This window comes from Homo sapiens, chromosome 13 (assembly GCF_000001405.40).
Source record: "Homo sapiens chromosome 13, GRCh38.p14 Primary Assembly".
Taxonomy (NCBI): domain Eukaryota; kingdom Metazoa; phylum Chordata; class Mammalia; order Primates; family Hominidae; genus Homo; species Homo sapiens.
Genome location: NC_000013.11, coordinates 98,063,176 through 98,090,688, shown reverse-complemented (window position 1 = coordinate 98,090,688; position 27,513 = coordinate 98,063,176). Strand labels below are relative to the sequence as shown.

Here is a 27,513-nt window from a genome sequence, read left to right as displayed (position 1 = left end):
CAAGAAACCAATCCAGCCACCATCACCACCACTGCCTCTCAGCAACCACCATGTAGGCGCTGGCACAGTAATGTAGAATTCAGCTGCTCATGCCCCGTGGCCTTGCCTAGCAGCAAATGCTGCAGCAGGAAGAGGCCCTGTGCCTCTCTTCTGTTTCCCAAATTGCACATGAGCATATTCAACCAAGGGAACTACATTCACTTTCAAGATTCTAGCTGCAAAGGAGTCAGGGAAAGTAGTCTTCATCTTTCTAACCTCTACGGCCAGGATGGCACCTTAAAATGAGGGTAGACTGGAAGCTGAGTCAACTCACAACTCAGCCCACCTTCTCACAGGCAACCACTGCTGCCAACGACTTGGGGATCTTTCTAGAGATAACCCCTGCATAAACAAACATGATCACAGATATACCTTAAAAATACACACACACACACACACACACACACACACACACACACGTGCCATACTATTCATACTTTCTACATTTTTTTAACCAGACACCACAATATATGAAGAATATAGTTCTAAGTCATTCTATTTGACATAAAAGTACAATTTTGAACACTAAAATTTTTTGCTGCATACTTTAAGGGATTGGATAACATTCAGGATGATTTCACTCTATTGGATTGCACTTTCAAATGGCAATGATTTTTTAATAGAATCGTTTGAAAGAACAGCCTTGACCTCATGATAGAAAGTTCTTGTATGTTCCAAGAAACCAATGATCTTTTTATGCTGCTGTGCACACACTCTCACCTCCCACGCATGGCAGACGATGTCCATTCTAGACCAAGTGGCCACCTGCTCTCCTGCACATTCAGTCAGCCATAAGTCACCTTAAGGGAGTCTGCCATCTGTTGTGGCTAAAATAACTTTTACACTGTGGGAAAAGGTGTCTGTGCTGCGCCCATATCTCCTGGCAGGAGCCACTTTCGTGAATGCTGGCCTAACCCCCAATTGTCTGCACCTAACACTCTGTTTGGAGGCTCTTTCTGGCTTTGGTGATTTGTTTGGCCTGTACAGGGGCAGGATGGAAATGCCAGGAAATGAATGTCCCCAAAGCGCAACCCTCAACAGTGAAGTGGGTGGAAAATGCCCTTGCTCTTCCACCCCATGGGTGGGGAAACACTGGAGAGTATCTTTCCAGTGGCCCATGGGTCCTCAGCAATGACTGCTTTCATAAAGCATGCTTGGTTGCCACCCTTTCCTCTCCTGACTCATTTTCCCATCCCCAACCATTGTTTCCTGGAACCATGCTGCAAATAGATTACTACTTGTGCTGGAATCCTTGTCTAAAGGCCTGTTTCCAGGGGAACCCAGTGTTAAGACATGTACATGAGACAAAATTGGGCTGCAAACGTGGGAGGGGCTGGTGGCACCCCAGTGAAGGAAACCCAGTCTGCAAATGTCTGGCAGAGACACTGGATATTTACAGTGAAGGGGCTGCTATGGGCCAAATTGTGTCCCCTCAAATTCACATGTTGAAACCTTAACCCTCAGTACTCTGAGCATAACCATATTTGGAGATAAGGAGTTAAAGAGGTAATTTAGTTAAAATGAGGTCTTTAGAGTGGGTCCTAATCCAACATGACTGGTATCCTTAAAAGAAGGGGAGATTGGTCAAGCGAAGTGGTTCACACCTGTAGTCCCAGCACTCTGGAAGGCCAAGGTGGGCAGATCACTTGAGCCCAGGAGTTCAAGATCAACCAGGGCAATATAGTGAGATCCTATCTCTCTTTCTCTTTCTCTCTCTCTCTATATATATATTTTTTTAATTTCAAAAATATAATTAAAAAATATTTTTTTTTTAAAAAGGAGATTAGGTCAAAGATGCAGAGGAAAGACCACGTCAGGGCCCAACAAAAGCAACACCTGTAGGCTGAGGAAAGAGGCTTCAGAGGAAACCAACCCTGCCAACACCTTGACCTCAGATTCCAGCCTCCAGAACTGTGAGAAAATATGGGGTTTTTTGTATAAGCCACTCAGTCTGTGGTATTTTGTTACTGAAGTCCCAACAAACTAACATAGGCGCCTATGACTTCTAGCGACAGTCCATCTCACTTTTGGACTGTTCGGATGTTAAAAAATTCTCTATGTGGATGGAAATCCTCTTTCCCATAACTACTTTTATTTCAGCACTCAACCCAAAGAAATCTGCTCCCTCTTTTATGAGACAAGCCCTCACTTATTCATAAACCTAAAGAATTTTAAAGCTGGATGGTATCTGAAAACATCACCTAGGGGGCCTCTTCCAGAATTTACGAGGCTTTTTATATTAACTCTGAAAGTGTAAATAGGCTGTAACACTTAAACATTCTTCTAGGAAAAAATACTGTGTTGGCTGCTGTCCTGCTGTATCTCGTTTCTTTGATAGTGATTGGGAGGGTAAAGTAATTAAGAACTATTGGCCACATGTGGTGGCTCACGCCTGTAATCCCAGCACTTTGGGAGGCCAAGGCAGGCGGATCACTTGAGGTCAGGAGTTGAACACCAGCCTGGCCAACATAATGAAACGCTGTCTCTACTAAAAAAAAATACAAAATTAGCCACGCTTGGTGGCACACACCTGTAATCCCAGCTACTCAGGAGGCTGAGGCAAGAGAATCGCTTGAACCCAGGAGAGCAAGACTGCAATGAGCCGAGGTTGTGTGACTGCACTCCAGCCTAGGAAAACAACAACAAAACCCAAAGAAACTATTGATCTAGTCCCTCATTTTACAGGTAAAAAGAGCAAGGCCTGGAAAGGTTAGGTGGGGTCATACAGTGTGTGTATTGTGGCTAAGCTCAGATCAACCCCACGATTCTGGGTTCTAGTCTAGAGCCCCTTCTGCTACCTTGAGGAAGTTGGCAGCTTCCTCACTTCTCCCACTGCCAGGATAAACATCGCCATTCGCCACTGGGCCTCAGTCTCTCTTTTCAGTTTTGATCACTTTTCTCTGATGTGTCATCCAAGTTCTTCAGAAAGCAGAAGCTGAGAGGGAGTTAGGAGTGCAGTGATTTATCAGGGGACAGGGATGCCTGTGAAAGATAAAGGGGAATGAAAAGGAAATGGCTTCAGACCACCATGCTCATGTGAGCCCTGGGAAAGGATGGGGAAAGGAAGTGGCACTGGGCAGGAAGGGCCTCGGCCTGGGCTGTAGGTGTCACAAAGGCTCGTCCAACCATCCACTGCTCCAAGATCACCCATTTGCAGAGTCTCATGGTGAGCTGAGCTGGCCGGGCTCCCACTATACTCAGGGATTGGCTGAGAGCTGCCCAGCTAGAGTGTAGCTTCAGTCCCAGAGCTGAGGTCGCATCTGAAGGTACTGCAGCTGGGGGCTGCTGGGACCAGCATCCCTTTCTGCTGAACAGCAAGTTCTTCTTGCAGGAGATCCCAGCTGCATACTCTCATGGCTGCCACACAGGGCCACACTCTGCACTCTTGAGTTTCCTCTTAAAATATGGTGCTTGGGTCAGCCAGGTGTGGCGGCTCACACCTGTAATCCCAGCACTTTGGGAGGTCAAGGTGGGTGGATCATGAGGTCAGGAGATCGAGACCATCCTGGCTAACACAGTGAAACCCCGTCTCTACTAAAAATACAAAAAATTAGCCGGGCATGGTGGCAGGCACCTGTAGTCCCAGCTACTCGGGAGGCTGAGGCAGGAGAATGGTGTGAACCCGGGAGGTGGAGCTTGCAGTGAGCCGAGATCACACCACTGCACTCCAGCCTGGGTGACAGAGTGAGACTCTGTATAAAAAAAATATATATATATATGTGTGTATATATATATATATATATATATATATATAGTGCTTGGGTCCTAGCATACTACTCAAGTGTGATGCAAAGTAGAGCAGGTGTGATCACCTTCCTCTGTTCTCTGCACCTCTGTGGATAGAGCACAAGACTGCCTTGAAGCTTCTAGCAGACTTACCACCCTGCTGGCTTATTAGCTTGTAATCAGCCACACCCCACGGAACTCATTCTCTCTCCTCTCATACTGATTTTTGTGCAGCTGATTTCAACACCCAAATGCAGGCACGCTATATTTTGGTCAAAACTTCCAAGTCATTTCTGACTACCTACTAATACATATGTCAAGAGTTTTACTCAATTAGAGACCTTTTATTTTCATTTGTAAAAAAAAAAAAAACAAAAACAGAATTTTACAAGTGATAAATGTCTTTAGCCTTGTTCCTAAGTTTAAGAGAGTTTACACAGATCTTTAGTTAAATAAAGCTAGATTAGTGAACACCTAGTAAATTATTACAAATGCAGTAGTAAAATCAAGCCCTACTTCAATCATAGTTATAAACTGGAAATAAACTATAAATTTGAAGAGAATAAAGTTTTCTCCATGAAAAATTCTAATGAACCAAGTTTCACATAACACATATTTAGAATCTAAATTACAAGTACTCCTTAGAATTACTAAAAATAACCTCTTAATTTATGAGAAAGCTCTTCACTATTTTTAACAAAGAATTTTAAAACTCAACTTTAAGATAACGAGATGCAGAATATAGATTTAATTTCACTTTTACGATAACAGTTTTGTAAATATTTGGTAACCTTTTCCTTGTCTATTTAGAGAGCCTAATGGCTGGCTGAAAGCTTGTCATCTCAAAGAACCACGTCAGCTGCCCCAATTCTTTGAATTTTTTTTTTTGTCTTTTTTTTAGTAGAGATGGGGTTTCACCATATTGGCCAGGCTGGTCTCGAACTCCTTATCTCATGATCCACCCACCTCAGCCTCCCAAAGTGCTGGGATTACAGGCGTGAGCCACCGTGCCCAGCCTGAATTTTTAAAAAAACAAATGGCAACCAGCGTCTGTAGTTACTGGCTTCAGTTATAACCTCTTGGCAAGGTTGAATTAAAAACTATGGGGCTTGTAATTTTCTGTTTTCATATGGCCAATAATACTGAGGGGGGCCAGGTGCAGTGGCTCATACATGTATTCCCAGCATTTTTGGAGGCCGAAGGGAGAGGATCACCTGAGGTCAGGAGTTCGAGACCAGCCTGGCCAACATGGCAAAACCCCATGTCTACTAAAAATACAAAAATTAGCCAGGCATGGTGGTACATGCCTGTAATCCCAACTACTCAGGAGGCTGAGGCAGGAGAATCGCTTGAACCTGGCAGATGGAGGCGGCAGTGAGTGAGCCAAGATGGCGCCACTGCACTCCAGCCTGGGGGACAAAGCAAGACCCCATCTCAAAACAAAACAAAACAAAAACAAACAAACACTGAGGGGGAGGTCTCTTCAATTTCATCCCTGTGTTGAGCTGAAATCCATTGTATTTATTTGAGGGGGCTGTATCTTTACAATGATATGGTAATAGTCTACCCAGGGTCTCCAACAGAGGCTAAATGGGTACTCGGAAACTGTCCATGTAAAATGTAGTAACTTCCTCCCTTGTCTGAATTTGGATGTCACCCTCATTGGTAGCAGATCAGGCAAAAGCACACTCGATCTGTTATTTTTGTCATAACCTCACTTACCTAAGTCAACCTCACACCCATGCATATCCTTACACATGTCATTTACTTGTTATGTTTAAAGCCTCTCCTACTTGGTCAATAGCTGTTTTTGATGAGAGTTATCTCTCTTGTTGACGTATATCTTTCTGCTTTTTCGTATAGTTCTAGAATCGTCCAGACAATCAATAGTAAATTCTTATCACAAATCCTCTTGGCAAGAATGAGAGACAAATCTAAAATGTTAAATAATAAATACTTAAAAGCCAGGTAGCATAGAATCTGAAGTCAGGAAATCTGGTTTTAAGTTTCCACTATTTTTTCATCTGACCTGGGGCAAGCAATTTAAACTCTCCAAACTTCAATTTCCGTAGTCATAAAACTGTGGAAATACACCTTGTGAGGATCACATAAAATAACAGTGAATATCTGCCAAGTAATTACTAAATGTCAGACTGTGATTTGAGGGCTTAAAAGTATTAACTCATTCAAGCTTCACAGCAAACTCCATGAGAGTCCTCTGCTCCCACCATTTTTGTAGATGAAGAAAATGAGGCCCAGATGATGAAACCAGGAAAATGAGTCCAAGGTCCCATGGATAGGAAAAAGTGGAGCTGGGATTTGAAGCTAAACGGCCTGACTCCAGAACCTTGAGCACTACACTGTATATCCTCTATTATGACATCTGCAAATACCTTTTTTTTTTTTTTTGAGACAGAGTCTCGCTCTGTTGTCCTGCCTGGAGTGCAGTGGCATGATCTCGGCTCACTGAAACCTCTACCTCCCAGGTTAAGGTAGATTCTCCTGCCTCAGCCTCCCGAAGTGCTGGCATTACAGGCTTGCACCACCACGCCTGGCTAATTTTTGTATTATTTTAGTAAAGACGGAGTGTCACCATGTTGGCCAGGCTGGTCTCAAACTCCTGACCTCAAGTCATCCACCCGCCTCTACCTCCCAGTGCTGGGATTACAGGCATAAGCCACCATGCCCAGCCTTGCAAATACCTTTTATTAACTAGAAAGTGATGAACCCATGAATCATTATTTCCTATTTTGTAATTCATATAGTCTATTTCAATGCAGCAGGATATGTCCTTAAAAGTGTTATAGGGCATTTCATTATTCACTGTCTACCCAGGTCAATCACAGCCGCACAATGAGATGAGTTACAACTGTATTGGTAAATAGATCAACCAGACCAGCGCTTCCCAAATTTGCAGAAATCAACTGCAATGGATTGCAAATGCTTGGGTCCCACCCCAGAGCTACTAAACTTTCTGGGGAGAACCCAGCAATCTGTATTAAAAACAACAACAACATAAAGACCCCCAGACTATTCTGAGGGCCAGTTAGACCTGAGAATGAGTAGACTGGCAGGTGGCTGGAGAGCTCTTTCAACAATCTGATTCCACGAATTCCTGAGAAACTTCTTGGCTCAGTGGTCAGTTTGAAACAATTTCCTACTGTTAAGTTATCACATCATTCGGGCAGCTGGCTTCATGAGCAACTTTTAACATTCTCTAGGGAGTCCATAAGCCACTTCATGAATTTTTCATACCAAACACTTGAGGCAGGATTGACTCATCTGTGATTTGTTACAACCATAGTTCTATGAATTAGAAGGACCGTTGGTCACGTTTCAGATTTTCCACTGGATCACATTACAGACATAAAAGTAATGTGTAGGCTGGGCCCGGTGGCTTACGCCTGTAATCCCAGCACTTTGGGAGGCCGAGGTGGGTGGATCACCTGAGGTCAGGAGTTTGAGACCAACCTGGCCAACATGGTGAAACCCCATCTCTACTAAAAATGCAAGATTAATTGGGCGTGGTGGCACGTGCCTGTAATCCCAGCTACTCCAGAGGCTGAGGCAGAAGAATCACTTGAACCTGGGAGGCGGAGGTTGCAGTGAGCCGAGATTGCGCCATTGCACTCCAGCCTGGGCAACAGGGCAAAACTCCATCTCAAAAAAAAAAAGAAAAAAAGTAATGTATATACTTACTATGTGCAATGCTTTTGTGCTATGCCAGGCACAAGGAAATACTGAAAATCTTTCTTGACACTGGTAAATCTGGGCTTAATAACTGGTTTGTAGAAATAAGTGTAATTATTATTAGAGGGGAATTATTTTATCATACAAATGTTATTAAAGCTACTCTCATGCTATAATTTTAAAAAGATGACATTAACTACAGCTAAATATAATAATTCATTTTCATGAAATTTTTATTTTTTAGTGATTTGTCTTAGTTGTTCAGGCTGCTAAACAGAATGTCATAGAATGGGTGACTTATAAACAGCAGAAATTTATTTCTCACAGTTCTGGGGGCTGGGAAATCCAAGATCAAGGCGTTCACAGACACCTTCTAGCTGTGTCCTCATATGGTAGAAGGGACAAGGGAGCTCTCTGGGCCCTCTTCTATAAGGGCACGAGTCCCATTCATGAGGCTTTGCCGTCATGACCCAATCAGTCCCCAAAGTCCCCATCTCCTAATACTGCCACCCTGGGAGGAATCCGGTACGTGAATCTGGGAGGGACACAAATGTTCAATCTATATTAGGATTTAAGGTTAATGGCAAACTGTCTAGGAGTTTTAGGTAAAAAGTGAGGGCCAAGAAAAGAGAAATATTCTGTGCATTAGACTCATGGATGTGATATGTGACTGCTCCTGTCTTATTCTTCACACCATGTGACTTTTTAAAATCTACGAAAAGCCTATTATTTTTTTAAAAAGGATACATAATACCAAAAGGTGTTCAATTATAAATATTTTGTTCTTACTTAAGTCACCCACCCGCTAAGACCACCCTCCCTCAAGGTAGCCACTGATACTTACATCCTTCCAGAAATGTTCTATGCATGTGAGTGTGCGTGTGTTTGTGTGTGTGTGCATGCATGTGTGTTTGTGTGTGTTTGTGTGTGTTTGTGTGTGTGCGTGTGTTTGTGTGTGCGTGTGTGTGTGTGTGTTTGTGTGTGTGTGTGTGTGCTCAGTGGTTCGATGCAGCGCTCTGCATCAGGGCTGGGTTTGAATCCTGGCTCAGTCACTATCAGTGCAACATTGACCAAGTTCCATTTCCTCAGTTGTAAAAAAGGGATATTAATATCTATTAAATACCTCATAGCTGGCCAGGCATGGTGGCTCACGCCTGGAATCCCAGCACTTTGGGAGGCCAAGGTGGGTGGATCACGAGGTCAAGAGTTCAAGACCAGCCTGGTCAACATGTTGAAACCCCATGTCTACTAAGAATACAAAAATTAGCCGGGGGTGGTGGCGGGCACCTGTAATCTCAGCTACTCGGGAGGCTGAGGCAGGAGTATTGCTTGAACCCGGGAGGCGGAGCTTGCAGTGAGCCGAGATCGCGCCACTGCACTCCAGCCTGGGCAACAGAGCGAGACTCTGTCTCAAAACAAAAAACAAAAAAACAAAACACCTCATAGCTCTTAGCAAAATAAGAGAAATACAAGAAAAATGAAAAATTCTACCTCATAGGGTTGTGGGAACATGAATTAGATGAGTTAATACATATAAAGTGCTTGGAACTGAGCCTGGCATATTACAAGTACTGATAAATATTAGATATTTGTATTATTATACCTGAGTCCCTGTGTTTACACGTAGAAGCTCATTTCACATAGCCTCACTCAATACATCCACGTTTACAGCAGCACCTGCCCTTTAAGCAGCGCAAGACCACAGTGTGAGTGGACCCATGTGATTTACCATTTCCCTGTAGGTGGAAATCAACTCTGTGATTTTGCTTTTACCAATAAGATTGTGCTAAACCTTTCTGCACATGGGTGGGTCCTTTGCCACAGGCACCAGTTTATGCAGAGGTAAACTGGTGGATATGAATGGCTGGATCTGGCACCCAACATCAAATGGGGCTCTAGACCAGGCTCTAAGTGAGTAGGTACAGAACACACTTCAAGCTCCTCTATGGGGAAGAAGGAAAAGAAATCAGTGAACAGATGCCAGAGAGACAGTGCAGGTAGACACGTGATGGGACTCTAAACACTTCGAGGCTTTGTTTTTTGTTTTCTTATTATTGAGACAGGGTCTTGCTCTGTCACCCAGGCTGGAGTGCAGTGACATGATCACAGCTCACTGCAGCCTGGATCTCCCAGGTTCAAGCAATCTTCCCACCTCAGCCTCCCAAGTAGCTGAGATGACAAGAGCACACCACCATGCCTGATTAATTTTTTATTTTATTTTTGTAGAGACAGGGTCTCACTATGTTGCCCATGCTGGTCTCAAACTCCTGGGCTCAAGTGATCCTCCCATCTTGCTTGGCCTCCCAAAGTGCTGGGATTACAGGCATGAGCCACCACACCCGACCATTTGAGGCTTTCTTAATTCTTAGTTGCAGTATTTTCAGAAGACCATCATTGCCATCACAGACATTCACAAAATCACCAAGGAAAGCATCCCTTGATAAAGCCCTCTCCATTCCCATCACTGCACCTAGCACATTCTCTTGGTCCACTTGTCCAGCCTCTTGTCAAACAATGTGCTCTAGCCTGTGGCCAACTGTGAAGAGCAAGATGCAAGTAAGACCATGGGCCATAGCCCCAGCAGGTCATTTAACCAGAGGATCATGGGAGAAATCCTTAGTCCTTATGGCAATGACCCCTCTTTCAGATGCAGAAACGGAGGCCTGGGGAAGACAGGATTTGCCAAAGGTGTTAGTGCATGTACTTCCTGCCTGTGCTTCTAGTCATCTCTCTGCCATGCCGGAGAGCTCCCACAGTGCCTAAAACGACACCCTGAGGGCGGTAGTGCAGTGGGGAGGTGTGAGTGTGTGTGAATGACTGTGAGTATATGTGTATAGTGTGTGCACACAAGTTTGAAAAGGCAGAGGTGAGTCTTGCCACACAGAAAATTTACCATGGACTGGATGAATATTTTTGGCCAACACGAGGAGTTTATGACAGTTAATTACTAAATAATTCCTAATAGTGAGGCTGATAAGTGAAGCAGAACACTTGGATGAAGCTTTCTTACCTCCTCCCTCTTCAAACATTATTTTACCTATAAAAAATTTTGAAACTTACGTGGAGAAAAATTAATAGACTCTCATGTACCTGTCACCCATCTAATTTATCAGTACTTAACCGGCCAGGCGCATGGCTCACGCCTATGATCCTAGCACTTTGGGAGGCGGAGGCAGGCAGATCATTTGAGATCAGGAGTTTGAGACCGGCCTGGCCAACATGGTGAAACCCCATCTCTACTAAAAATATAAAAGTTGGCCGGGCACGGTGGCTCATGCCTGTAATCCCAGCACTTTGGGAGGCCAAAGTGGGTGGATCACTTGAGGTCAGGAGTTCGAGACCAGCCTGGCCAATATGGTGAAACCCCATCTCTACTAAAAATACAAAAATCAGCCTGGCGTGGTGATGTGTGCCTGTAGTCCCAGCTACTCGGGAGGCTGGGGCAAGAGAATCGCATGAACCTGGGAGGTGGAGGTTGCAGGGAGCCGAGGCCGCACCATTGCACTCCAGCCTGGACATCGCAGACAGACTCTGTCTCAAACAAACAAAAAAAAAAGTTTGCTGGGTGTGGTGACACATACTTATAATCCCAGCTACTTGGGAGGCTGAGGCAGGAGAACCGCTTGAACCCAGGAGGCAGAGATTTCAGTGAGCCAAGATCGTGCCACTGCACTCTAGCCTGGGCAACAAGAGTGAAACTCTGTCTCAGAAAACAAGCAAGCAAACAAACAAACAAACAAAACTGTAACCAATCTTGCTTCATGTATATCAGGTGAGGCTTTCTTGAGCCATTTCCAAGCCCACTCTTGAGGGGCTCTGTCCTGTCTGGCTGTGTACAGTTGATACTATAGGATCTCATTCTTTGAGCATTTTGTTGTTGCTCTACTTCAAATAAACGGAACTCTGAATTGTAAGAAATGAATCCATGTAAAAACGTTGTCACTTCTAGAAAATTCCTGATCCACTGGCCCATAGCTATGGGGGGCATTAGGCCTTTTTTGCACACAGAGAAAACATGCGATTAATGATGCTTATTTCTGATGACGTTGTGCATTTGTTCCTATGCTTAGGTGTCTTCTGTGAATGAGAATACCACCTCTGGCTTCTCTGCATCTCCCAACAGTGCTGGGTACACAGCAAACTTCTCTTGTCTAACGGCAGTGTGGTGTTTCTGGTTTATTTGGCTTCAGTGCCAAACATCGTTGTTCACATCTTCAGTGCAACAACAGTGAAAAATTAGGTGAGGGGAAGGAAGATGAAAGAATGGGAAGGGTTGTGAAATGATCACTTTCCTCCGATGGTATTTATTTCACAACTGTAGGCAAAGAATGGAGTGATTTCAGGTTCCTAAACAAGATTTTAGAATCTCGTACCTAGCTCAACTATCAATCAAGCAGAAGGACAGAATCTAGACATTTTTAGGCCTCAAACAATTACCTTCTGTAAAACTTATTCACAAAGCTCGTGTAAGATACACTCTACCAAAATAATAGCGAACCCAGAAAAGAGAAAATGTGGGGTTCCAGCCCAAGAGAAAGATAAAAGAACTCCCAGGATAACGGTCAAAAGAGAGCCTATGATGGCAGCTGGCCCAGACATCTCCTGGTGTGGTTTGGAGCATATCAGAAGACTCCCACTGAGATTTTTTTTTTTTTTTTTTTTTTGAGAAAGAAAGGGAAGGGCTGGGCATGGTGGCTCATGCTTGTAATCCCATCACTTTGGGAGGTCGAGGCAGGTAGATCACCTGAGGTCAGGAATTTGAGACCAGCCTGGCCAACATGGAAAAACCCTGTGTCTACTAAGAATACAAAAAATTAGCCAGGTGTGGTGGCACGTGCCTGTAATCCTAGTTACTCAGGAGGCTGAGGCAGGAGAATTGCTTGAACCCGGGAAGCGGAGGCTGCGGTGAGCCGAGATTGCACCATTGCACTCCAGCCTTGGCAACAGAGCGAGACTCTGTCAAGAAAAAAAGGGAAGAAGGAAAGGAAAAAGGAAGACAAAGAAAAATGGAAATGTTGAGAGGAGATTTATACAAACTGGGGAGAGTTTGGAGATAAATCAGTGGTAAGAATAAAGAAAATTCAGCTAATAATTCAGAAGATAATTATTAGTTCCAGAGAAAATACAACATTGGGTCAGAAAGGAAAATTTCAAAGTATATTATATAGCTATCTACCAATGGTATTTACATAGTCCTAGTAATGGAACACTGGCTATTGTTCTAACCAAAATTACAATATTGCGTTACTAGAAGGATGAGGACACGGGGATGTGAGGGAGAAAAAGCTATCTCCTCATATTCCATAGCAGGAAGCCATTAGGTAATACCTAAAGTTTAAAAAACAAGAAATAGCAAGAGAAGTGTGTTATTTAAGGAAATAGGGAAAAATACAAATAAAAATCAGTCAAAGTTAGTTAAAAGAGTTAAAAGTAGTGGTACCTGCAGAGTGAAAAATTGGTGGTAGAATGGGATGATGGTTGCTTTTCTTTTTTTCTTTCTTTCTTTTGTTTTTTTTAGAGACAGTGTCTTGTTCTGTCACCCAGGAGGTAGTACAGTGGCACAATCATAGCTCACTGCAGCCTCAGCCCTCTGGGTTCAAGTGATCCTCCTGCCTCAACTTCCCGAATAAGCTTATGGGTACGTACCACCACACCCAGCTAATTTTTTATATTTTGTAGAGATGGCGTCTTGCTCTGTCGCCCAGGCTGGTCTTGAAACCCTGGGCTCGAACAATCATCCCGTCTCAACCTCCCAAAGCGGTGGGACTACAGGGAGGAGCCACTGTGCCTGGCCATTTTGCAGATCAAGCCTCACAGGATTATTCAACTGAGGAAATTCTATTCATGCGTAATTTTAATGAGGATAACAACTAGATAGAAACAAAACTATTAAAACTAGGAAAAAATAGAGGGGTTCAAGAATAGTCAGATAAGCAGAATCTCTCATACAAATGGGCATGTGACTCTCTGACTTGTTTTTATTTCCCACAAATTCTTGGACTTAAGGTTGTAAACACTTCATATTGGAATTTGCACACATGTCAATATGCAAACTGCAGTGGATTTTATGTGACATGTGTCATGAGTTATAACATGCTCATATAGGGAAGGGTCTTCACAGGCATTGAGCCCAGGGATTCTTAAGTGGGGGGACATGCAGGTGGGAGCCAGAGTTATTTTTTGTATATAATACTACTAATGTATCTGTTTAGAAACATAGCTTCATACTCATACAATGGAAAATCTCCTCGGGCAAGATACAGCAATTCTTGTGGAATTTACAGCAGATTTCTGTTATTTTTGTTTTGTGCTGTTTTCTGCTGTACTTATTTAGAAAGACTGTTAGTCAAATTAAGGGGTTCAAATTTAGGATTTACTTAAACCTTTTTGTCAAAGTGAGAGGTGACAGCGTGCTGGCAACCCTCACAGCCCTCGCTCGCTCTCAGCACTCCCTCAGCCTTGGCGCCCACTCTGGCCTCATTTGAGGAGCGCTTCAGCCCGCCTCTGCACTGTGGGAGCCCCTTTCTGGGCTGGCCAAGGCGGGAGCTTGGCCACACCTCTCTCAGCTTGCGGAGAGGTGTGGAGGGAGAGGCACGGGCGGGAACCGGGGCTGTTCCGGGTGGGCGTGGGCTTGGCGGGCCCTGCACTGTGAGCGGCCGGCAGGCCCCGCCGGCCCCAGGCAGTGAGGGGCTTAGCACCTGGGCCAAGAGCTGCTGTGTTCGACTTCTCGCCGGGACTTAGCTGCCTCCTGGCGGGGCAGGGCTTGGGACCTGCAGCCTGCCATGCCTGAGTCTCCCCCGCCGCCGTGGGCTCCTGCGCGGCCTGAGCCTCCCCGACCAGGCACCATCCCCTGCTCCACAGCACCCAGTCCCATCGACCACCCAAGGGCTGAGGAGTGTGGGCGCACAGCGCAGGACTGGCAGGCAGCTCCACCTGCGGCCCGGGTGCAGGATCCACTGGGTGAAGCCAGCTGGGCTCCTGAGTCTGGTGGGGACTTGGAGAACCTTTATGTCTAGCTAAGGGATTGTAAATACACCAATGGGCACTCTGTAACTAGCTCAAGGTTTGTAAACACACCAATCAGCACCCTGCGTCTAGCTCAGGGTTTGTGAATACACCAATCGACACTCTGTATCTAGCTAATCTAGTGGGGACATGGAGGACTTTTGTGTCCACACTCTGTATCTAGCTAATCTAGTGGGGAGGTGGAGAACTTTTGTGTCTAGCTCTGGGATTGTAAATGCACCAATCAGCACCCTGTCAAAACGGACCAATCAGCTCTCTGTAAAATGGACCAATCAGCAGGATGTGGGTGGGGCCAGATAAGGGAATAAAAGCAGGCTGCCTGAGCTAGCAGTGGCAACCCGCTCAGGTCCCCCTCCTGCACTGAGAAAGCTTTGTCCTTTCACTCCTGGCAATACAGGTTGCTGCTGCTCACTCTTTGGGTCCACACTGCCTTTATGAGCTGTAACACTCACTGTGAAGATCTGAAGCTTCACTCCTGAAGCCAGCGAGACCACAAACCCACCAGGAGCAACAAACAACTCCAGATGCGCCGCCTTAACAGCTGTAACACTCACCGCGAAGGTCTGCAGATTCACTCCTGAGCCAGCGAGACCACAAACCCACCAGAAGGAAGACACTCCGAACACATCCGAACATCAGAAGGAACAAACTCCAGACACGCTACCTTTAAGAACTGTAACACTCACCGTGAGGGTCTGCGGCTTCATTCTTGAAGTCAGTGAGACCAAGAACCCACAAATTCCGGACACAAAAGCACTTTTGGAATAACGGAGTTAGCATTTCCAAAAATCTCCTGTTCCCTAAAAGCGATGAGAACACAGGTCAAAAATGTCAAAATTAACTTTCTCAGAACTCTGGAAATTAATCAAAGGCTTGTGATGATCCAAGGAGTGTTTATTCAAGAAAACCAGTTGAATGTTGGTAAGAACTATGATCTTTGTGACAGTTTAATTTGCCCTATTCCCACCCCTTCTCTGTAACTGTAGTAGTCTTGAAAACCAAGTCTGGGGCTCCCAGTAGCTATGAAAGCTAGCAGCCTATCAGCTTCTGGCGGGAGAAGATGGCCTTGGGGTTCTTCAAAAGTCACACTTCCAGAGAATTGTCATGATTTGATCTGTTTGGCAGCTCCCCTGTCCCCACACAAGATGGACATGGACACAGAAGAACTAGACTTGGCCAGGAAGTATAATCAGCACCCAAGATCCAAAGAGCTTAAGTGTTACAAAATGATACTCACCAGAGGGACCCAGACAAGGTAAGCTCTGACCCACGGGGTCCCGATGAGGCGTGCTCACAAACTGCATGTCTCTGTAGGCTCCTATGAATACATTCCAGTGAGCAGATCTCAGTAGGTCCTCCGGAAATAACTGTCAAAGAATAATTCAGACGAGTGAGTTTAGTGAGAAGCCTAGCTGAAACTTACTTGTATACTAGGGCAATCAATCACCTATAAATCAAATGTCACTGAACAATGGCAAGGGAAGGTTTATGAAATAAAAACTTCAGACTATCTGTGGACCAACCAGAGATTGCCCTTATTTTTTTGTCTTTGGACAAGTTGATTGGCTGAAAACTATCAAAGAAGGCAGTTTACCCTAGAGCCGACTGAATACTTATGAGGGAAGCCAATTGAATTTATTTATGTTTTATCCAAGAAAACGTGTGACTTCAGCTGTGGATGAAAGTGGCATGTTCATCTCTGCCTACTAGAGACCACACCCATGCATTGGCACTTATGCCTTAGGTCAAGATTGCATTGCCTCCTCTTTTTTTTTTGAGATGGAGTCTCAAAAAAACTCCAGCCTCTGTTGCCCAGGCTGGAGTGGTGCAGTGGCACCATCTCGGCTCACTGCAAGCTCTGCCTCCTGGGTTCATGCCATTCTCCTGCCTCAGCCTCCTGAGTAGCTGGGACTACAGGTGCCTGCCACCACGCCCGGCTAATTTTATTTTTGTATTTTTAGTAGAGACGGGGTTTCACTGTGTTAGCCAGGATAGTCTTGATCTCCTGACCTAATGATCCGCTCACCTTGGCCTCCTAAAGTGCTGAGATTACAGGCATGAGCCACCACGCCTGGCCTGCATTGCCTCCTTAATGGTAATTCTTCAGATTACAGTGGTTAACAGCACAGGCCTTGAGTCTATTAGACCAGGTCTTTCATTTCTTACTTGGGCAACACTGAACCTGAATTTCCTCATCTGAAAATGGAGATAATGATATCTACATTGGAGTGCTATTGAAATGATTAAATCAGATGTTTGTAACGTTCTTAACACAGTGTCATCATATAAAAAACCCTCGCCAGGTGCGGTGGCTCAAGCCTGTAATCCCAGCACTTTGGGAGGCCGAGGTGGGTGGATCACGAGGTCAGGAAATCGAGACCATCCTGACCAACATGGTGAAACCCTGTCTCTACTAAAAATACAAAAATCAGTTGGGTGTGGTGGTGCACCCCTGTAGTCCCAGCTACTTGGGAGGTTGAGGCAGAAGAATCGCTGGAACCTGGGAGGTGGAGGTTGCAGTGAACTGATACCGTGCCACTGCACTCCAGCCTAAGGACAGAGCGAGACTCCGTCCTTTACTATGATATCCTTTACTACGAATTATTAGGGGTATAGCTCACTGGGTCAGTCGGGATCCAGTGAAGATAAATGAACCACCATGTAACTTAAACGAGGAGTTCAATGTATAGAATGATTCAGTGTAACAGAGGATTACCTCCTAAGGGATAGAGAGAACCCTGAAAAATATAGGTAAAGGAAGTGGAAGGAACAGCCACTATCTCCAGGGTCGGGGCGGAGCACCCAAGAAAGGAAGAAACCCAGAAGACGGAACTCGTCCCCAGCCAGGGCTGGGATCCAGACCTTGTTGAAGACAGTATAGCCATGCCCACTGGGTGATGGAGATATTTGCTAAGGTTCCACGCTGGTGGAACCCAATGAGTCTCTGCCCACTGGAGAACCAGGAAAAAGATGACTGCCTACAGGGAGATGCTGAAATGTGGAAATCACCGGGAATCCACTGGAGGGGTGGTGGCTCTGAAACTCACTAGGGTGAGCACCACTGGGTGTCTAGAACAAACAAAAGATCCATGGTTTAGTCCATTCAGTCTGCAATAACAAAATATGCTAGACTGTGTCATTTATAAACAATAGGAATTTACTGCCTATATGCTGGAGGCTGTGAAGTCCAAGATCAAACCACCAACAGGTTCAACATCTTGTGAGGGTTGGCTCTTGGCTTCAAAGATGGTGCCTTTCCATTGCATCCTCACGTAACAGAAGGTTTACCTGAGCCTCTTTCATAAGGGCACCAATCCCATCCATGAGGGTGGAGCCCTCATGGCTTCATCACTCCCCAAAGGCCTCACCTCTTAATTCTATCACATTGGGAATTAGGTTCCAACATATGAATCTGGGGAGTACACTCAGACCATAGCAAGTGCCTTCCTTCTGCAGTGTTCCTCCAACACTCTGGACTGACAAGGCTTAAGCTCATGCCAGCTGGCCAGGGAGAAATGTTCCAGTATCACAAACAGGGCAATGAAAAGTGGATTTGGAGCTCAGGGGCTGTAAGTTGAGAGTTGGCACGCCCACTAAGAGCATTAACACCTCCGTAGCTCATCCTAGTCCAGCAATGGTGGAAAGGAATGATATGAAGGGAGCAATGTTACCCTCCCTCCTGGAACAGCTCCTTGAATTTGCATCTGGACTTTAGGTCAGAATTGCATGGTTTTCCTAATTGTAATTCCTCATGGTACAATGGAATCACAAAGATTTATTTTATTTTATTTTAGACAATCTTGCTCTGTCTCCCAGGCTGGAGTGCAGTGGCTCGATGTCGACTCGCTGCAACCTCCGCCTCCCGGGTTAAGTGATTCTCATGCCTCAGCCTCAGCTGTGACTACAGGTGTGACTACACCACGCCCTGCTAATTTTTATATATTTAGTAGAGATGGGGTTTCACCATGTTGGCTAGGCTGGTCTTAAACTCCTGTCCTCAAGCAATCCACTAACCTTGGCCTCCCAAAGTGCTGGGATTACAGGCATGAGCCACTGCTCCCAGCCACAAAGATATATTTTTAAAGAATTTATAATTACAATTGCAATTCTTGGACTTCACAAGATGTAACTACTTTGGAGTCTTAATTATGGACATACAGTGAGGCAAGCAGCTATTACGAGGAAGAAATCTAACTGGACTTCTGCAAAATTTCACCTATCAATCTTTGCTTCTAACAAAGATTGGTTGGAATCTTTGTTGGAATCTGTCTTTCTGGATGTTTGTTTATGATTCTTTTTTTAAAAAGGCCAAGGCGGGAGGATCACTGAGGTCAGAATTTCAAGACCAACCCAGTCAACATAGCAAGACCCCATCTATACAAAAAAAGCAAAACAAACAAAACACTCTTCTCCCTCTAGGAAAACATTTAAAAGATTTATTAAAAACAGCAAAAACAAAATCCTTGACATTAGTCTTGCTAAGTACTGGACCCTAAATGTCATCTCTCTTCCTGTGACTGTGAAATAACCTGAAATTGACAGAGTTTGAAATTCATTTTCATTATTCTAACTAGAAGTAATTGTTTTTACAAATACCATTTACCAGAAAAGAAGACAGAATTTTGGCTCTGTATTATTTCACACAGACACAAATGATTTTTCCTGGCTCCTATTTCATGAGATAATCACCCATCTCATTACTGGTATCATCTCTGGGAAACACTGACCTGTTTCACCAGCCCTCAGATATGTGTAATGGTTCCACACAGATGCATTTATGCTAGTGTCAGGGTTTGACCAGCTCTGTGTGTCTTAGAAGAGTAGATCTGTCCATATTGCGACCACATAGTAAAGTAGGTAAAAATTCTCAGAAGTGGAGGAAGTGTGCCATTTAAGGCAACTGCAGGATAGTTAGTGCAGTGGACTTGGAATCAGAAAATCTGCATCCAAACTTTTGTCTCTTGGTGTACAAAGTAGCATGTTTGGTGCTGGACAAAATATTCAGCCTATTTCCTCACTTATAAAATTGGAATAATACTAAACCCTCTGCTTGTCATAATAACTAACTTGACACAAAAGAGGCTACTATAGAGCCAAGGACATATTAGGTACTTAGTAAAATTTACGAATATCTAATTTTTTTTTTTTTAGATGGAGTCTGGCTCTTGCACAGGCTGGAGTTCAGTGGCACGATCTCTGCTCACTGCAACCTGTGCCTCCCGGATTCAAGTGATTCTCCTGCCTCAGTCTCCTGAGTAGCTGGGATTACAGGCACGCATCACCACTCCCAGCCAATTGTTTTTTTGTATTTTTAGTAGAGATGGGGTTTTACCATGTTGGGCAGGCTGTTCTTGAACTCCTGACCTCAAGTGATCTGCCTGCCTCGGCCTCCCAAAGTGCTGGGATTATAGGCATGAGCCATCACACCCAGCCACAAATATCTAAATCTATTATAGGAAATATTTATATAAAATTCTTTTTTAAATTTTTTTATTTTTCGAGACAGGGTTTTGCTCTGTCACCCAGGCTGGAGTGCAGTGGTGCCATCATAGCTCATGGCAGCCTCAATCTTCCGGGCTCAAGTTGTCTTCCCACCTCAGCCTCCCAAGTAGCTTGGGCTGCAGGTGCACACCACTACACCCAGCAAATTTGTTTATATTTTATTTTTTGTAGAGATGGTTTCTCACCATGTTGGCCAAGTTGATCTTGAACTCCTGGGTTCAAGCGATCCTCCTGCCTCAACCTCCCAAAGTGCTGGAATTACAGGCATGAGCCACCACATCCAGCTAAAAAATGTTCTTTCTTACATTAATTGGTAACCTTATTAACTATCACTGTGTTACTGGATTGATATGGTAACTTATTTAACACCTAATCAAATTATGGGCTTTCTATTTATAGCACGTGTACTAAGAAAATAGTGTGTGAATATCACATTAAACCAATGGAAAATGTATATGCTAAATAAGTCCATCTGCTACTATTTTTATTCATGCTAAACCTCCTAGCCCAATTTAGCAGAGACAAGGTAATTAGATCTACAGTCTTTGCTGTGCATGGCTGTCCATTTTCATTTGCTCTGAGTAACCATTTGCAAGACTGTAACAGATATATTTAAGATCTCCTCCTCTTCCCCTGCTTGTTTGCTTATTCATTCAGCAATCACTTATCAAGCTGCTCCCACCTGCCCTGCAACAGGCTTAGACACTGTGGATTCAAAAATAAATAAAAAGTGGCCTCAGAGAACTTATAGTTTAGTGGTAGAACAGACATCTAAAGCCAGTAAGTACAATACACTGTAACAAGGGCTGTAGATAGAACTCTGGGGACAAAGAAGATGATGTGACTGATTTTGCCTGGAGTATCAATTTAAAAAGGCTTCACGGATAGGTGTGGTGGCTCAGGCCTGTAATCCCAGCACTTTGGGAGGCTGAAGCGGGTGGATCACCAGAGGTCATCAGGGGTTCGAGACCAGCCTGGCCAACATGAAGAAACCCCGTCTCTACTAAAAATACAAAATTAGCCGCGCTTGGTGCCCGTAATCCTAGCTACTTGGGAGGCTGAGGCAGGAGAATCACTTGAACCCAGGAGGCAGAGGTTGCGGTGAGCCGAGATCGCGCCATTGCACTCCAGCCTGGGCGACAGACAGAGCGAGACTTTGTCTCAAAAAATAAAAAATAAATTTAAAAAAAGGCTTCACAAGAATTAAGGCCCTTGAAGAGTGAGAAGGAGGTCCGTTTTCACACTGCTGATAAAAACATATCTGAGACTGGGTAATTTATAAAGAAAAAGAGGTTTAGTGGACTCACAGTTCCACGTGGCTGGGGAAGCCTCATAATCATGACAGAAAGCGAAGACACACCTCACGAGGTGATGGCAAGAGAGACTCAGAATCAAGCAGAAGGCCGGGCGCGGTGGCTCACGCCTGTAATCCCAGCACTTTGGGAGGCCGAGGCGGGTGGATCATGAGGTCAAGAGATCGAGACCATCCTGGCTAACAAGGTGAAACCCCGTCTCTACTAAAAATACAAAAAATTAGCCGGGCGCGGTGGCGGGCGCCTGTAGTCCCAGCTACTCGGGAGGCTGAGGCAGGAGAATGGCGTGAACCCGGGAAGCGGAGCTTGCAGTGAGCCGAGATTGCGCCACTGCAGTCCGCAGTCCGGCCTGGGCGACAGAGCGAGACTCCGTCTCAAAAAAAAAAAAAAAAAAAAAATCAAGCAGAAGGGGTTTCTCTTTATAAAAGAAGATGGTCTCGCGAGACTTATTCACTACCACGAGAACAGTATGGGGGAACCGCCCCCATGATTCAATTATCTGCCACTGATTCCCTTCCACAACACCTGGGAATTACCGGAGCTACAATTCAAGATGAGATTTCTGTGGGGACACAGCCAAACCATATCAGAATGAGAAAGCAATTCAAGGCAGAGAGTAAAACCTGTGCATAGCTATGGAATCCTAAATATTCTGACGTCATCAAGGAACTGCAGGATGCCCCGCGTTCCTGAAGAACAGGGTGCATGGTGGGAGGGCAGGTGCTGGCAAGTCCGTGTGGAGTGGGCACGGCAAACACCCAGCAGGTAGCGGAGTGTGGACTCTGTTCTCTTCCCTGTGAAGAGCTTTCCGAGGTTCTCAGACTGAGGGGAGTCCAGTCTGTTTCAGGAAGCTCATTGTGAACTGTGAAATAGAAACAGTTACAAATTTGTAATGATTTGCCATTTCCTATGAACTCTGAAATGCACATAATCAGCTTGTGTTACAAAGATCTATTTTTAAAAGTATATTTATTGCAGTATTATTGATAGCAATAAAACCTAAAACACGATCTATATGTCCACCAAGAGTGACCTGGTAAAAATAAAATAAATACTGTGCTGATATGCACAGACAGTGAAATACTATTCAGATCTTTATTTATCTATTTAGTTGAGACAAGATCTCATTCTGTTGCCCAGGCAGGCTGGAGTACAGGGGCGCAGTCACAGCTCACTGCAGCCTCCACCTCCCAGGCTCAAGCTATCCTCTTATCTCAGCCTCCCCAGGAGCTAAAACTACAGGTGCATGTCACCACACCTGGCTAATTTTTAAAATGTTTTGTAGAGATGGGGTCTCATTATGTTGCCCAGGCTGGTCTCAAACTCCTGGGCTGAAACAATCCACCCAGCTCAGCCTCCCAAAGTGCTGGGATTATAAGCATGAGCCACCGCCTGGCCTACTAGACAGCTTTTTAAAGGAACAAATTAGATCTAAATTTTTTGTATGGAAAGCTGGCCCAAATATGCTAAGATTTGCTTTGTACAGTTGTAGAAGAGTATGAGTAATATACCATTTATGTAAAAATAAAATAATAATAATCCAGTTACACTTAAACTGTTACATTTATATAAATGCATGTATGTGCCTGAAACCTCACTGGATAGATAGAAAAGAACTTGTTTGCAAGGTGGGGTGGATCATAATGGTACTTTAATATTTTGCTGAATACCTTTTTGCAAAGTTTTAAACTTTTTTTTTTGCCAGTAGCATATATTACACATTTACTATTTAAAAAGTTAGTTTTAAAAATTTTAGAGAGGACGGGTGGGGTGACTCATGCCTGTAATCTCAGCATATTGGGAGGCCAAGACAGGTGTATTGCTTGAGGTCAGGAGTTTGAGACCAGCTTGGCCAACATGGTGAAACCCCGTCTCTGCTAAAAACACAAAAATTAGCCTGGTGGTGGTGGGTGCCTATAATCCTAGCTACTTGGGATGCTGAGGCAGGAGAATCGCTTGAACTCTGGAGGTGGAGATTGCAGTGAGCCGAGATCACGCCACTGCACTCCAGCCTAGGTGACAGAGCGAAACTCCGTCTCAAAAAAAAAAAGAAAAAAAAATTAGAGAAATGTACAATGTTTTAGTGGACTCTAATTGGGAGAATAGCCTCTCTAGGTATGGAATTATGATCCCAGGAAGCAGAGTGACTACCCAAAAACACAACACAGCACAGTGAGGCACTGTAGGATTAAGTGATATAACACACGCAAGTGTGAATGGTGTGCTGGGCATATAGGGAAAGCTCCGAATGTTAGCTATTATTTCCTGTAAATGACATTAATTCGGTTTCTCCTTCTCAATATTAATGCCTCTTATTTCTGTTTCTTCTCATCTTATATTGTGCAGAGTTCCTGTTTTAGTTGGCTTCTCTTCATTGGAAGAAACAGATTCACTCAAGTGACTTCAAGAAGAATAGAGTTTATTATGAGGATGCAGGTAAGTAACAAGTATTTTCACTTCCACAACGGGAAGGTAGTGAAGGAGGCTCTGCCAGAAGGAAAGAGGGCCTAGGAGTTTTCTTGTACAGGTGACTAATGGCAACAGCCAAACACAGCCTCCCTCACAAGTGGTGGGTTCCTGCTAAACTTGGGCTATGTCCCTTAGAAAGGAGGGTGTGTGTATTAGTCTGTTTTCACACTGCTGATAAAGACATACTCGAGATTGGGTAATTTATAAAGAAAAAGAGGTTTAATGCACTCATAGTTCCACGTGGCTGGATTCAATTTCCTCCCACCGGGTCCCTCTCACAATGTGTGGGAATTATGGGAACTACCATTCAAGATGAGATTTGGGTGGAGACACAGCCAAGCCATATCAGTGTGGTTTATGAGCCTGGGAGCTTTGTAGGAAAGGCAACTGTTCAACTACAAGGTGAAACACCCTCAAACATGACTTAGAAGTTTGAATATTAGAAGTTTGTCTGACAGAGCTTTTCTGTGACATGTTTCAATACAAAGAACTTCCTTCCTTGACTTGCAGGTAAAAGAGCATTTGTGGGGCCGGGCTCGGTGTCTCACACCTGTAATCCCAGCACTTTGGGAGGCCAAGGCAGGTGGATCACAAGGTCAGGAGTTCAAGACCAGCCTGGCCAATAAGGTAAAACCTCGTCTCTACTAAAAATACAAAAAATTAGCCAGGTGTGGTGGCACACACCTGTAATCCCAGCTACTCAGGAGGCTGAGGCAGGAGAATTGCTTGAACCTGGGAGGCGGAGGTTGCAGTGAGCCGAGATCATGCCATTGCACTCCAGCCTGGGCAACAGGGCAAGACTCCCTCTCAAAAAACAAAAAAAAAAACCAAAAAAAAAAAAAACAAGAGTATTTGTGACCACTCAGATTCTTCCCAGGTTAGTCAGTGCCACCAGGTCCTCAACATTGCCGGCATATCGGCCAAATGCAATAGAGTTGCCAGCAGATCACAGCCTGTGGCCGGGCTTCTGGTCCCAGCCAAGATGGAGTGAGCCTATACGACCTATCTCTGCCACCAACAATAGCAAAAAGTCTGGACAGAGTACAAAAGCTGTAAACCAAAAATAAAATTCTAAGACCCCCCAACCATTTGAACAGATGAAGTTAACCTGAAAAACTAGTTCAGCCCATGATGGGAAGGGGGAGCTGGACATGCCTTGTGATACCCTCCTCCCTTTTGAAAATACTGACAGAACAGACTCTAAGTCTGATAAGAAATATTTACAATCTATTCTCTCTGAAGCCTGCCACCTGGAGGCTTCGCCTGCATGATAAAACCTTGGTCTCCACAACCCCATATCCTAAGCCAAACAATCCTTTTTATTGATAACTCCTTCAGCCAATTGCCAATTAGAAAATCTTTAATCTGCCTATGACCTGGAAGCCCCACCTCCCTTCTAGTGGCCCTGACTGTCCTAACTGAACCAATGTATATCTTAAAAGTATTGATTGATGCCTTATGTCTCCCTAAAATGTTATAAAGCCAAGCTGCATCCCAAACACCTTGGGGACGTGTTCTCAGGATCTCCTGAGGGCTGTATCACTGGCCACTGGTCACTCAAATTTGGCTCAGAAGAAATCTCTTCAAATATTTTACAGAGTTTGACCCTTTTCATCAACAAATGCAACCTTCCAAGGACTTTGCAAAGTAAAGAAAAGCAGGTGGCCAGGCGTGGTGGCTCATGCCTGTAATCCCAGCACTTTGGCCGGGCGCGGTGGCTCACGCCTGTAATCCCAGCACTTTGGGAGGCCGAGGCGGGCGGATCACGAGGTCAGCAGATCGAGACCATCCCGGCTAAAACGGTGAAACCCCGTCTCTACTAAAAATACAAAAAATTAGCTGGGTGTAGTGGCGGGCGCCTGTAGTCCCAGCTACTTGGGAGGCTGAGGCAGGAGAATGGCGTGAACCCGGGAGGCGGAGCTTGCAGTGAGCCGAGATCCCGCCACTGCACTCCAGCCTGGGCGACAGAGCGAGACTCCGTCTCAAAAAAAAAAAAAAAAAAAAAAAAAAAAATCCCAGCACTTTGGGAGGCCGAGGCAGGCAGATCACAAGGTCAAAAGATGGAGATCATCCTGGCCAACATGGTGAAACCCCATCTCTACTAAAAATACAAAAATTAGCCAGGCGTAGTGGCATGCGCCTGTAGTCCCAGCTACTCGGGAGGCTGAGGCAGGAGACTCACTTGAACCAGGGAGGCGGAGGTTGCAGTGAGCCGAAATTGTGCCACTGCACTCCAGCCCGGGCAACAGAGTGAGACTCTGTCTCAAAAAAAAAAAAAAAAAAGAAAGAAAAAAAAAGGCAGGCAGATCGTGATTGTGGAGGGGGCTCGAAACGTGGAGATGAGTTTGCCAGATTTTTTTTTCTCCCCCTCTCTTTTTTTCATTTCTCTCATGGCTTTGCCTTGAAGGTGAGTTCCAGTTATGGAGCTGTGGGACTAAACTCAGAGGGACTCCCGGTATTTCGGCCAAAGTCATCTAGAAAAGTGGCCCGTGCTGTCTGAAGAGTGTGTGTATGTGTGTGGGAGAGGAAAGGGGGCTGGAATCTCCATTTTGTTTTTTTCCTTTCTCTCATGGCTTTGCGCCAGGGGCAAACATCTGTGGCAGAGCTCTGTTAGGGGCAGAACGAGAAGTCAACACTCAGAAAAATCCCATGTTTCTGGGCACCGGAGTTGGGAGCAGGGGGATGAGGGATCCTGTCAGCTGAAGAAGGTGGAGACAATCATAGAAGAAAGCGGGTAAAAGGGGTTCCCTTATCCCGAATATGAAACCACACAGGTCTGAGCTCCCCTCGGAGCTACCTAGGCATGCGACAGACCCCAAACAACACTGCAGCCTTTGAAAACTGAAAGGAGACAGGAATCACTATCCACAGAAAGCCAGACAGAACTTCCAGGTGAGCCTAACTGGGTTGTGTTGATTGCCTGATAAGATAAGAGAGAGGGGCCGGGCGCGGTGGCTCACGCCTGTAATCCCAGCACTTTGGGAGGCCGAGGCGGGTGGATCATGAGGTCAGGAGATCGAGACCATCCTGGCTAACAAGGTGAAACCCCGTCTCTACTAAAAATACAAAAAATTAGCCGGGCGTGGTGGCAGGCGCCTGTAGTCCCAGCTACTCGGGAGGCTGAGGCAGGAGAATGGCGTGAACCCGGGAAGCGGAGCTTGCAGTGAGCCGAGATTGCGCCACTGCAGTCCGCAGTCCGGCCTGGGCGACAGAGCGAGACTCCGTCTCAAAAAAAAAAAAAGATAAGAGAGAGGGAGGAGAGGGGAGGGGAGGAGAGGGGGAGGGGAGGGGAGATTATAGTCTTATTTTCTTGGACTGAGCTCCTGCATGAAGCCTCAATCCACCAGACCAAAGCAAATGGAGTCACTTAGGCTAAATGCCACGTAATCAAACTGAAGCTCTAAGAAGGTAGACAGATCCCAGAACAGATCAGTTTTTCCTGAAAACAAGAGATTTCAGTCTACCTGAGTAATAAGGAAGTTCCTTCTGCTGTAACCCTTCCGAAAAGTAACCTGATGTTAACTGATCCGTTTTTTCCCTCTATTGTTCTGTTTCCTTGTTCCACACTTAAAAACCTGCCATTTCCTGGTGGGAGCTCCCGGTCTATTTTGTAGATTGGAGGCTGTCTGGATTCATGAATTGCAAATAGAAGCCAGTAAGATCTAAAACTAAATTTGTTGTAATTTTGCCTTTTCATGAGAAAGAAAGAGAGGAGAGAAAGAAAAAACGAAAAAGGAAAAAACCCTCA

At 44.9% G+C, this 27,513-nt stretch overlaps 2 long non-coding RNA genes across 5 annotated transcripts in view, besides 2 other annotated features; one reads left to right on the top strand and one right to left on the bottom strand.

Moving 5' to 3' along the window:
* Nucleotides 1-24,377, top strand: part of LOC105370328 (uncharacterized) — a 77,599-nt gene extending 53,222 nt beyond the window's left edge. The window contains exons 1-4 of one of the 4 annotated variants that reach the window (XR_931669.3): nucleotides 15,186-15,402; nucleotides 15,607-15,736; nucleotides 23,643-23,732; nucleotides 24,276-24,377. This is a non-coding gene — a long non-coding RNA (uncharacterized LOC105370328). Of the gene's footprint in view, nucleotides 1-11,626; nucleotides 11,696-15,185; nucleotides 15,737-23,642; nucleotides 23,733-24,275 lie in introns of those variants that run through there. The other 3 variants (XR_001749971.1, XR_931668.3, XR_931670.4) reach the window with 3 other exon arrangements.
* Nucleotides 15,216-17,494, bottom strand: LOC107984566 (uncharacterized). Its single transcript, XR_001749972.1, has 3 exons — nucleotides 17,344-17,494; nucleotides 15,719-15,848; nucleotides 15,216-15,281 (listed from the first exon to the last, which is right to left on the bottom strand). It is a non-coding gene; the product is annotated as an uncharacterized LOC107984566 (long non-coding RNA).
* Nucleotides 25,607-26,204: an enhancer, noted in NCBI's record as "H3K27ac-H3K4me1 hESC enhancer chr13:98716739-98717336 (GRCh37/hg19 assembly coordinates)". NCBI's record gives its function as "activates a minimal SCP1, AML or CMV promoter by ChIP-STARR-seq in primed H9 embryonic stem cells {active_cell/tissue: H9 hESC(primed)}" and the evidence as "EXISTENCE:reporter gene assay evidence [ECO:0000049][PMID:30033119]".
* Nucleotides 26,205-26,800: an enhancer, noted in NCBI's record as "H3K27ac-H3K4me1 hESC enhancer chr13:98716143-98716738 (GRCh37/hg19 assembly coordinates)". NCBI's record gives its function as "activates a minimal SCP1, AML or CMV promoter by ChIP-STARR-seq in primed H9 embryonic stem cells {active_cell/tissue: H9 hESC(primed)}" and the evidence as "EXISTENCE:reporter gene assay evidence [ECO:0000049][PMID:30033119]".